The following is a 12024-nucleotide window of genomic DNA, read 5'->3' as shown; positions in this document are numbered from 1 at the left end:
AAACTATTTTGTGGGGAGAAAAAACCACTTAGAGAATACTAGGGAACTGTGTCAGGGATGCCCAAGACCCAGTTTTTCCACCTCGAGGTTTGATGATTTTAGAGGACTCATAGGACATAGCATATAGCTGTATTCACAGGTAGGACTTACCACAGCGAAAGGGTATGAAACAAAATTGGCAAGCGAAAAGGTGCATGGGGTAAAGTGTAGAGGAAAACAGGTTTCCACTCCAGCCTGAAAACTTAGTTTGAGTTTTTGTTTCAGAGGGACTACCTGAAGACAGTCAGTTCCATGTTGGTCCATGACATCAGGTTATCAGCCTCACGACTGTGGATGACATCTGGAGGTGTTCCGTGTGGGAAGTGCAGGAGCTGAGGCCACTCCCTGCTCTCATAGGTTTGAGCACAGGCTCAGCAGGCTGTTTGAATTCAAAGTGCTTGCAGCATCTTAAAAAGGTAGCATGGAAGTTTTTAGGGAAGAGCGGAAAGGCAGTATTGAAAAACAAAGATGATCAGTCTTTGCCTCCTTTGAGATTCCCTAGGTGCCAGGGTTTGTTTTTTGTTGTTGTTACAAAATCAGTATGTCCCATTTAGCAGTCATAGCTTCGCATTTAAAAAATTGTCCTCTACTCTCATCCAGACCTTTTGTCTGGAAGGGATATATTAAAGCGGGACAAAAGTTTTCACAGAATTTTTTTTTTTTTTTTTTTTTTTTTTTTTTTTTTTTTTGAGACAGTCTCACTCTGTTGCTAGGCTGGAGTGCAGTGGCACAATCTCGGCTCCCTGCAACCTCCCCCTCCTGTATTCAAGGAATTCTCCTGCCTCAGCCTCCCGAGTAGCTGGGACTACAGGTCCGCGCCACCATGCCCGGCTAATTTCTGTATTTTTAGTACATCCTGTTGTACATCCTGTTGGCCAGGATGGTCTCGATCTCTTGACCTCGTGATCTGCCTGCCTGGGCCTCCTAAAGCGTTGGGATTACAGGCATGAGCCACCGCACCTGGCCAGAAAATATTTTTATATAATGTAACCAGAAAGACATGCCATTTTCAGAACTGGTCAGAATTAAATCCTGAATTTTCAAAATATTTCAAAATGGTTTTAGAGAGCCACTCACTGCTTTCCTCCTGATCATTCATTTAGTAAGTGGCCTATAGCATCATTCCATTTCTGGAGACAGCTGCATTTAGTAATCAAACTGCCTTACTAAGGTGTGTGCACCAGTAGAAAGGTAGCAGAGTAGTGGCAAACTGGTAAGTCCACTGTTGCAAACGGCAGCTAGTCCAGAAGTCCCAAGTAAACACAGTGAAACTTTCCTAAGAGGTAGAGAGTAAGATGGGTAGGCACAGGGGTCACAGTCCTAGTGATATGCTTTCCCCTCAACATGTAGCTTTTGTCAGTAATCACAAGTTAGGAATGTAATCAGTCCCTGTATCAGAAATACAGAACAGATCAGCAGTTCGACTTCGTATGGTCCCACCAGAGAAGCCGGTTCCCATGGACACCTGTGATAATCCACGTAGTTCCATCAACATCCATTTTTTATAGTGAAGAGCCCCACAGAGGGGTATCCTGAATCTGCCTTGATCCCCAAATAGAAGTCGTCTTCCCTGAGCCTGTATCTCTTTCAGTTTAACACAGCTTGTGCTGAGACTGAAATAGTGTGTAGGAGGCAATGTCAAGTTTTAGCTCAAGCGTCAAGTCCAAGCAACTAGGATCTATGAATTCAGGATTCCAAAATATGCCAGAGACTTTTCTTTGGCAGCAGTAAAGCTGAGATGCTGAAGGGCCAGTCATGTTTCCAAGGCCAAGCAAAAAGCAAAGCTTTCCTAAGTGCTTTCTAAGACCCACTCAAAATTATGCACATCAGGCTAGAAAATCACCAGCCTCTAGGGTCAGACATCTGATTTTATATGAGCTCACTTGCAATTAAAAACTGCTTTAAAAATGTTTAGAAGTGTATGTCTTCCTTTTTCCAGAGGCTCCAATGGGCAAAAATCATAGTAAATATCATCGGCTGTGAGACATATTTTGCTTTCAACAAACGATTTAAATTTCCGTCTATCCTACAGCAGCAAAAAGCAAGGAAGCTGCGTCCCACTAACAACTTCTTTGCAGCATTGCCTTACTGAGCTAATCCCCCTCGCATCTGCGACATTACAAGCATAAAACATTTTACATCAACTTCTATCGTATATCCATAGATGTAATAACTGCAAAATACAAGGCCATTAACTGCCCCCGCTACCCCACCCTGGCCCGGCACCTTCCTCACTGCAGATGTATTCGACCCCTTGCAGTAAATTTAGCAAAAGGTTTAATATTACAGTTGCGGAGGAGACCCTATCTGGAATGGGGTTGAGGGCGTGCAGGTAGGCTAACAACTGAAGGATGTCCTCTGCCCTTTTTTACTTTGCTCCAGCCCTGAGAACTGATTCAACCTTTTTTCCTCCTACTTGTGAGGAAAGAGTGCCATAAATGTTTAACATTTTTGGCCCAACCAAAGCTCATCTTTGGGAATTTTTGGGCCTTTTTTCTTTCTTCCGGGAGGAGAGAACAAAAACTGAAGGTATTACCTGGGCTACACTTCTTTTTTCTCCTCACTGTAACCAGCATGGCCAAAAGTAGCCAGGTGATCTAGTGAGTCAGTTCTCCTGGAGTTGGATCTATCATTTGAAATTCGACAGGTAACTTTTACCTTTCATAACAGGCAACAGCTCAGCTGCTATTTCATATCATGGATAACTCCACAGCCATCCAGACATCAAAGGTTTTCCATACCTCTACCCATTTCATCCTTTCTTTTCTCAGTCCTTTTTTTTTTTTTTTTTGAGACAGAGGCTCCCTCTGTCACCCAGGTTGGAGTGCAGTGGCACGATCTCAGCTCATTGTAACTTCCACCTCCTGAGTAGCTGGGATTACAGGTGTGTGCCACACACCAGGCTAATTTTTTACATTTTTTGGTAGAGACGGGGTTTCACCAAGTTGGCCAGGCTGGTCTCAAACTCCTGACCTCAAGTGATCTGCCCGCCTCAACCTCCCAAAATGCTGGGATTACAGGCATGAGCCACCGTGCCTTGCCAGTCCTTCTGTTATATTTCTGTGAGTCAAAGGTCTCCACAACCGCCCCGTTTTGGTGATTTGCTAGGACTCAGGAATCAGCATAGCATACTCATGACTATGACTTATTACAACAAAAAGGTACAAAACAAAATCAGCAAAAGGAAAATATACTTGGGGCAAAGTCCAGAGGAAAGCAGGCACAAGCTTTAAGGATCCTCTCCTAATAGAGTCAGGTAGGATGTGCATGCTTAATCCCCCCAGCAATGGTCTGTGACAACATATATGAAATGTCTACCAGGGAAGATCATTACAGACTCAGAACCCGAGACTTCTATTGGGGGCTGGTCATGCAGGCGTCCTCTGCCAAAATCCCAGAGTCCCAGAGGGAAAGCAGGTTTTCAGCATAAACCAAATTAGTTGTACAAACAGGTTAGGCAAAGGGAGCCACTCTTCTCAGTTCTGGGAATGATGAGAACCTTACAGAAGTCCAAGCTCGCAGATGCCAGCTCAGGACCAATCCTGCAGGCAGGCCTTTCTAAGGACAGCAGTTTTAGGCCTATGATGGTAGTTAACTCTTCTGTATAGGAACCAACTTGTTTTTTGAAAACAAGTAAAGGGGGGAAGAAAGCATCTATCTTGCCCTATCACCCAGGCTGGAGTGCAGTGGTACCATCTTGGTTCACTGCAACCTCTGCCTCCTGGGCTTAAGCCATCCTCCTACCTCAGCCTCCCAAGCAGCTGGGACTACAGGCACACACCACCGTGCCTAGCTAATTTTTGTATTTTTTGTAGATGGGGTTTTGCCATGTTGCCCAAGCTCGTCTTGAACTTGTGTGCTCAAGCAACCTACCCGCCTCAGCCTCCCAAAGTACTGGGATTACAGGCGTGAGCCACTGTGCCCAGCTATCTTGCCTTTTCTATGGGGAATGTATCTCAGGGTGACCAGCTGTATGAACTTTTGTTTAGATTTGGATTCAAACTAACCGTTAAAAAATTATGACAACTGGGGAAATCTGAACGTTGTTTATTTGGATAATATTAAGAAATAGTGTTAATTTGTGGAGTGATAACATAATTTTAGGAGTTAATTTTAGGAGTGATGACATCATGTGGTTATGTTAAAAAGAATCTTTATCTTTTAGAGATACAGAGTGAAATATTTATAATTGAAATTAGGCCAGGTGCAGTGGCTCATGCAGGTAATCCCAGGATTTTGGGAGGCTGAGGTGGGAGGATTGCTTGAGTCCAGGAGTTCCAGACCAGCCTGGGCAATATAATGCAACTCCATCTTCACAAAAAATACAAAAGCTGTACATAGTGGCATGTACCTGTAGCTCCAGCTACTTGGGAGGCTGAGGCAGGAGGCTCACTTGAGCCTGAGTTCCCAGCTGCAATGAACTATGATCACATTACTGCACCCCAGCCGGGGCAACAGCAAGACCCTGTCTCTAAATGAAATCTGGGATTTGTTTCAAAACAATTTGGGGCTGGAGTGGTATCTAAGTTACAGTTATATAGGGGCTCATTATATTATTCTACTTTTATATGTTTTGAATTTTCTACTGAAAATAGTAATTTTACTTATTTTTTTCAGATGGAGTTTTGCTCCTGTTGCCCAGGATGGAGTGCAACAGCACCATCTCTGCTCACTGCAACCTCTGCCTCCTGGGTTCAAGTGATTCTCCTGCCTCAGCCTCCTGAGTAGCTGGGATTACAGGTGCCCGCCACCACGCCCAGCTAATTTTTATATTTTTAGTTAGAGATGAGGTTTCAACATGTTGGCCAGGATGGTCTTGATCTCTTGACCTTGTGATCCCCCGACCTTGGCCTCCCAAAGTGCTGGGATTACAGGTGTGAGCCACCATGCCTGGCCGAAAATATTAATTTTAAAAAGACATTTAGATTAGACGAGTGGCATTTAGTAATGGTAATGCCAGTCCTTTTGCTAGTGAGAGGTTCATAATTAGGCATCTGACACAATTCTGGCTGTAAAACATGGCTGCTTTTGGAAGGGTAGGGAAAAGGGAGTTCCAGAAAGAGTTCCACTGTTTCCAAAGGGAGAGAGACATGGTCTTTCTCTGGTGGTTGTGTTAAAATTGTTGCCTCTATCTGAAACCATAAAGGGAGCTGGCCTGCCGGTGGGGCCAACATCCCAAGGATGGCAGCTTAGAGAAATGAATAAAGACCTTACATCCCTATGACACTCACAGTTGAGACACTGACCACATTGGAATGGAGCCTGCCTTATTCTGGACTTGTTTTGTAAGATAACGTTTCCTCAATGTTTAAGCCACTTAGCACCCAATTCGAAGGGACCTATCTTGCAGAGTAGAGGCTGGCAAACTTTTTCTGTTAAAGGTCAAACAATAAATATTTTGGGCTTTATAGGCCATAAATCTTTGCTGCAGCTACTCAACTCTGCCACTGCAGCCGGAAAGCAGTCAAGGAAACAGGTAAACAAATAAGCATGGCTGTGTTCTAATAAAACTTAATGAATCTCTCTGGTCTTAGCCACAGAAGCAAGGTGACGAAGGCAACATCATCGTTTGGAAAGCGTCGCAATAAGACGCACACGTGCCACTGCTGTGGCTCTAAGGCCTACCACCTTCAGAAGTTGACCTGTGGCAAATGTGGCTACCCCGCCAAGCGCAAGAGAAAGTATAACGGCAGTGCCAAGGCTAAAAGACAAAATACCACTGGGACTGGTCGAATGAGGCACCTAAAAATTGTAGACCGCAGATTCAGGCACAGATTCCGTGAAGGAACACCACCTAAACCCAAGAGGGCAGCTGCTGCAGCATCCAGTTCATCTTAAGAATTTCAACGATGAGTAATGCAATAGATGTTCCGGTTTAAAAAAAAAAATTTTATGAATACTAAAGTTTGAACTTTACATAATTTATACATGTCACCATATAATACTCTTTTGGCTTTTTTCAGTCCTTAAAAAGAATGTAAAAACCATTTTAGCCTGCAGGCTGTACAAGGACAGATGACACGCTGGTGTTGGTTCAAAGGCCAGGCTATAGTAGTTTGCTAATCCCTGCTGTAGAGGAAGCATCGGAACTGATAACATTACGGTGTTAAATGATAATTCTTAGAATTTTTAAGAACAATTTAACAGAAAAGTACATATATCAACAATCAATTATTAATATAGTGATGATTTTGCTTATTTGCAACTGCTTATGACATACGTCCCCACACTATGTTGTCAAAGATATAAAAGCATACCAGTTTTACTAAACTTCATTAGAGTGCCTAATATTAATTTGCTTGTCTTCGTTATATGGGAGTTGCATCTATCATTTCAAATTCCAAAGGTAGCTTTTACATTTCACAATCGGCAAGAGCTGGTATTTCCATTTAATGGAATATATACCATATTTTATTATAATAGCTCCTTATCCCTCACTATCCAGAATTCTAGTTCCAGCACTGCCACCAACAGGCTAGGTAACCTTGGGTCAAGTCACTTAACTTCTGGGTCTTCCAGCTTAACAATTCAGCGTTAGGCTGGGCGCCGTGGCTCACGCCTGTAATCCCAGCACTTTGGGAGGCTGAGGCGGGCGGATCACTTGAGGTCAGGAGTTCGAGACCAGCCTAACCAACATGGAGAAACCCTGCCTCTACTAAAAATACGAAATTAGCCAGGCGTGGTGGCGGGTGCCTATAGTCCCAGCTACTCGGGAGGCTGAGGCAGGAGAATCGCTTGAACCTGGGAGGCAGAGGTTGTGGTGAGCCAAGATGGTCCCACTGCACTCCAGCCTGGGTGACAAAGAGCAAAACTGCATCTCAAAAAAAAAAAAGAACAAACAATTCAGCACTCATATGGGGAAAAGCATAAAAACTGTGGCCTAAAAAGATGGCTCCAGGGACATCCAGAATTGCTCTTTGGGCCCCAAATGCAAAATGGTTTTGGGGTTAGACCAGGGCTGATGTGGTGGTATAGATGCTCAATAACGTTCTTAATGTTTTTGAAGGACAGGATGAATTAGAACCAGAGGAAGTAATGGTAAAATATAATAAGCACTGGAGTAAGAAGTCCGGTCTAGTCTGAATTCTCTATGACAATCTTCTTTGATAAGTCATTTTCCCAATTGGGGTCTGTTTCCTTGTCTGAAAAATAGAGTGGATTAGGATGCTGTCTATTTCTCCACTAATTTTAGCACTCAACAGATCTTTGAAAGCATTCCATACAAATGTAATGCCTGGGGTCAAGAAAGCTCAGAACTACCTTCCCCCTGCCTGAAGACTGACTAGGTCACTTCTACGGTACTGATGCATCCGCTAGACTAGAGTGTTTCTTGAACCTTCACGTTCATATGAGTCATCTGGGGATCTTGTTAAAGTGAAGATTTGCATTCAGTGTATCTCTGGTGGGGCAGAGATAATACATATCTCACAAATTACTAGGAGATGCTGATGCTGCTGGTCCATGAAACACACTTTGAGTAGCATGGTAACAGTCTGTGAGAGTTGTCTGAAAGCTGTATTGTAGAAGCCATGAGGGAAGTAAAAAGGGCCAAGGAGCGAAGCATTTCTGCAGAGGAGGCCACTGAAGCAGCAGCTCGTTCTCTCCTTTACACCCTTCACAGTTTCTGTGGCACCTGGACGCTGCCACTGTAACCATCTGCTAAGAATCAGAAAGCTGGGAAGCTGCTTCAAGTGCCAATTCCCTAGACCTTACTTTATAATCTTTCTAATTTCTTTCCTCCATTTTCTTTTTATAGTTCTTTAATTTTGACCTAGTTTTGATCTTCTGCTTGGGATTCAAGAATTGAGAAGGCAAGTAAGTGCCTATGTGTTATGTTAGCAGAAGAAAATTTCAAGATGGAAGACACGAATTACTTATTAATAAGAGCCAGAAAAAAAAATTCAGCCAAAGAGAAACCTTAGTGGCTAAGAAGCAGAAGTTTCTAGGCATTTACTTTTTTAAAGTGAAAGTTTCAGGTTATAATAAAATAGAGTAAGAAGGGACCATTATTTGTACTTACTCTCTACCCACTGCAAAGTAATGAATAGAATTACCATTTAAAACTGCGGACTCTCAAGTTACCAACTCTGGAAAGGTCATTCATACAAGATTGAAATACAATACCATATTTCATACAACACAAAAAATCGGAAAAGAAGTGAATCAAGATCGAATATAGTGGGATATCAAGTATAGTGGGATAGCAAATATTTATTTGAAGAACTTTTAGGATAAAATTTAGCTTACCTCTGATAAAGCTGAAGAAAAATGATTGCAGTTTTTATGCATTAAATGATAAGCATTGCCTTTGTATTCTTTTCCCAGTTCTTCTACAATTTTTTCTATATCATCTTCTAGGAAGTCCGTGCTCCCTAAAACAACAGCTTCTCTTAAAGAACAAAAAGAAAAAAAAGAGAAAGAAAAATAAGGACATAGTTGTGTCAAATATTTATAAAAAGCATGTTTAAATACTTGCTTATTTCCAGGAATATTATGATCGACATAACAAATCAGGGTTAATATAACAAGACTAAAAGTGAAACAAGATACTTTAAAAGTCCTATTTTAGTTTCTACTTTTCTGCAATAAACTCTTAAGTATATTACCTATGAATACTACAAAAGCACAAGTCATTTTCTTTATGAAATATATGTCCTTATGTAACATGTAATATTACAGTTATTTTCACAACTATTGTATTAGCAGTTATATTATTAGGGAACCAGATCCATGCTGCAAATATTCCTGCGTAATTTCACTTGCCATTTAAGGGCTGGCCATAATGTCACCTAGAAACAAACTTTTAAGTTATCTGTCACTGTGCTGCAATGAGACAAACTGTCAAATCTGACTAAACGTTTTTTAAAAAGAAGGACCCTGGCCGGGTATGGCGGCTCACGCCTGTAATCCCAGCACTTTGGGAGGCCGAGGTGGGCAGATCACCTGAGGTCAGGAGTTCGAGACCAGCCTGGCCAACACGGTGAAACCCCCGTCTCTAAAACAATACAAAAATTAGTCGGGCATGATGGCAGGTGCCTGTAATCCCAGCTACTTGGGAGGCTGAGGCGGAAGAATCGCTTGAACGCAGGAGGCAGAGGTTGCAGTGAGCCGAGATCGTACCACTGTACTCCAGCCAGGGTGACAGAGCAAGACTCCATCTCTAAACAAACAAAAATTAAAAGGACTCCAAACTACTACCTTGGAAAGGCGACAGACATTATCCAAGAGAAAGTGGAATTTTAGTCAGATAAAAGGCATCCAAGGAACCTGAAAATACTTAGAAAATCCTTTTATCAAGTAGTCTTGCCAAAAGAGAGCCCGAAGGAGTGGATTCAGGATGGTATCATAGCACTTACGTGCGAAAATCTTTCAATTCAGTGATAGGCTAAGAGAACTATGAACTTAGTAGAGGGCTTAATGTGTAGCTCTCTACTGAAGTTTAATGTTGGAACCTCATTTCACTGTCTCTTTTTCACTTGGCAAGCCATCTATTATAGGCCCAGAAGTTTAAAGCTCCTTGAAACTCACATTCTAAATATCACTTTTTTTTTTTTTTTTTGGTGAGACGGAGATTTACTCTTGTTGCCCAGGCTGGAGTGCAATGGCGCGACCTCAGCTCACCGCATCCTCTGCCTCCCAGGTTCAAGCAATTCTCCTGCCTCAGCCTCCCGAGTAGCTGGGATTACAGGCATGTACCACCATGCCTGGCTAATTTTATATTTTTAGTAGAGACGGGGTTTCACCGTGTTGCCCAGGCTGATCTCGAACTCCTGACCTCAGGTGATCCGCCTGCCTTGGCCTCCCAAAGTGCTGGGATTACAGGCATGAGCCACTGCACCCGGCCCTAAATATCACTTTAAATACAAACCTCAATTAAGGAATGAAAATTTTATTATTAACATTTATATTCTCATTCTCAGCAAACTATCACAAGGACAGAAAACCAAACACCGTATGTTCTCACTCATAGGTGGGAACTGAACGATGAGAACACTTGGACACAGGGCGGGGAACATCACACACCAGGGCCTGTCGCGGGGTGGGAGCCTGGGGGAGGGATAGCATTAGGAGAAATACCTAATGTAAATGATGAGATCATGGGTGCTGCAAACCAACATGACACATGGATACCTATGTAACAAACCTGCACGTTGTGCACATGTACCCTAGAACTTAAAGTATAAATAAAAAAAATTATATTCTCACTGCTTTTTATTACTCGTAAGACTCCAGTGAACACTTACATCCATATATTTTAGGTTTATCATTACATGTAATACATGTACCTTAACAATGGATTCTACGCTAATCAACTGTTTAATTATTTCAAACGTGTAAAGTGTCCCTTTCATTGGGACAATAAAGACATTTTTAATTTGCTAGGTAGGTCACAATAAAACTTTTTCTCCTTTCAAACAGGAGATTGAGGGGAAGAAATCATTAGAAAGGAGTTTCCTGGGCTGGGCGTGGTGGCTCACGCCTGTAATCCCAGCACTTTGGGAGGCCGAGGCAGGTGGATCACCTGAGGTCAGGAGTTCAAGACTAGCCTGGCCAACATGGCGAAACTCCATCTCTACTAAAAATACAAAAATTAGCCGGACGTCGTGGTGCACGCCTGTAATCCCAGCTACTTGGGAGCCTGAGGCAGGAGAATCGCTTGAACCTAGAAGGCGGACGCTGCAGTGAGCTGAGATCACGCCACTTCTCTCCAGCCTGGGAGACAGAGTGAGACTCCATCTCAAAAAAAAAAGGAAAAGAAATGAGTTTCCTGAGGCAAACTTGAGTTATATAAAATGTCAGCAATTAAAACAAAGAGACATTTTTAACTTCTTGGGTTTGTTTTGATTTACAGAATGAATTCTGTATACCTGAAAACAAGCTATGGCACCTAAGACAGTGTAATAAAAATTATCCTCCCTACTTACTTAAATTTAAATGTTTCTCCTAGTTCAGAAGCATTTCCTGGGGAAATTTCAAATATTCCAGAAAAGGGGTAAGGATGGCCACCATAAGCAAATTCTGAAAAGAGAAAACTCATGATTTTTAGTATGTATCACATAAAATTTAACCAGAATGCTGAATTAGCTTTAATAATTGAGGATAACAGTGACACCATCTAAATATTTTTCAGTTTATAAAATGCTTTCACAAATATCTCACTTAGCTATTACTCGTATAAACAGTTGTCACAAAAGACCCGAAACTCAAATAACAGAAGACACTCAAAGATATTCTTGCCTGCCATATTTCCCTTTCTTATCATGGCAGGAAGAGAGTGATCAACACACAGAGGTATATACAGTTCTCTCTGCCTGTCTATATCATGCCAGTCTAGGCAGGTGGTCAGTTCAGTGTTTTGCCACTTTCTAAGTTAAAGTGATCCAATTTCAAACACATATCTTACTGGAGAAACTGTCTAGTAACAGTGAGTTTCATGGTTTCTGGGATAAAGACTATTGGTTTATCTTTGAGTAGGGTGGAACATTACCAAACCTAAAACACTACTCAATTCTCTTCATGTAAGAAAAAAATAAACTGCCAAATTAACACACATACCCATCCACCCTCCCATCCAATCACCACAGCAAGTCTTTTAGCTAGGATAAACTATTTTTTGACTGTACATCCAATACAAAATGTACATCAGATACAAACTCTGGAGAACAAAATGGAGAATAATTTTAGATAAAAAATTCCTGTAATTTTCTGTTATTTCACTTAGATATTTCAGTGGCTAAGTCTTAGTAGACAAATTTAAAGAATTCCAAACCATGCTTAAATCAACTTCATCACTTTAAAAATATACCTTAAAAGGTCTTAGAACAAAGCACAGGAAAGAACAGGCAGATACTAAATTTACTTTTAATTCAGACCTGTTCAAAAAAAGCAATGATGTAGTTTGAGAAATAAAGTGGCTATTTTGAAACATAATTTTTAAAGTTTTTTAGTGACAAAATTTTACAAAATATTGTAGATTATCAGGTT

General features: G+C 41.6%; 1 protein-coding gene and 1 pseudogene across 10 annotated transcripts in view, besides 1 other annotated feature; one reads left to right on the top strand and one right to left on the bottom strand.

The window, feature by feature from the left end:
* The window catches only part of DESI2 (desumoylating isopeptidase 2), a 55908-nt gene that overhangs the window by 8727 nt on the left and 35157 nt on the right, over window positions 1–12024 (bottom strand). For 3 of the 10 annotated variants that reach the window (NM_016076.5, XM_011544203.4, XM_011544205.4), the window contains exons 3-4: window positions 10965–11058; window positions 8287–8428 (exon numbers count right to left, since the gene is read on the bottom strand). In NM_016076.5, coding sequence (NP_057160.2) covers window positions 8287–8428; window positions 10965–11058 — 236 coding nt within the window. Of the gene's footprint in view, window positions 1–273; window positions 447–8286; window positions 8429–10964; window positions 11059–12024 lie in introns of those variants that run through there. The other 7 variants (NM_001297746.2, XM_011544206.4, XM_011544207.3 and 4 more) reach the window with 4 other exon arrangements.
* Window positions 289–489: a silencer, noted in NCBI's record as "peak808 fragment used in MPRA reporter construct". NCBI's record gives its function as "represses an SCP1 promoter by STARR-seq MPRAs in K562 erythroleukemia cells {active_cell/tissue: K562}" and the evidence as "EXISTENCE:reporter gene assay evidence [ECO:0000049][PMID:32103011]".
* Window positions 5559–5928, top strand: RPL37P8 (ribosomal protein L37 pseudogene 8; annotated as a pseudogene).

This window comes from Homo sapiens, chromosome 1, assembly GCF_000001405.40.
Source record: "Homo sapiens chromosome 1, GRCh38.p14 Primary Assembly".
Classification (NCBI taxonomy): domain Eukaryota; kingdom Metazoa; phylum Chordata; class Mammalia; order Primates; family Hominidae; genus Homo; species Homo sapiens.
The sequence above is the reverse complement of the archived record's forward strand: the minus strand, read 5'-3'. Positions and strand labels throughout refer to the sequence as shown.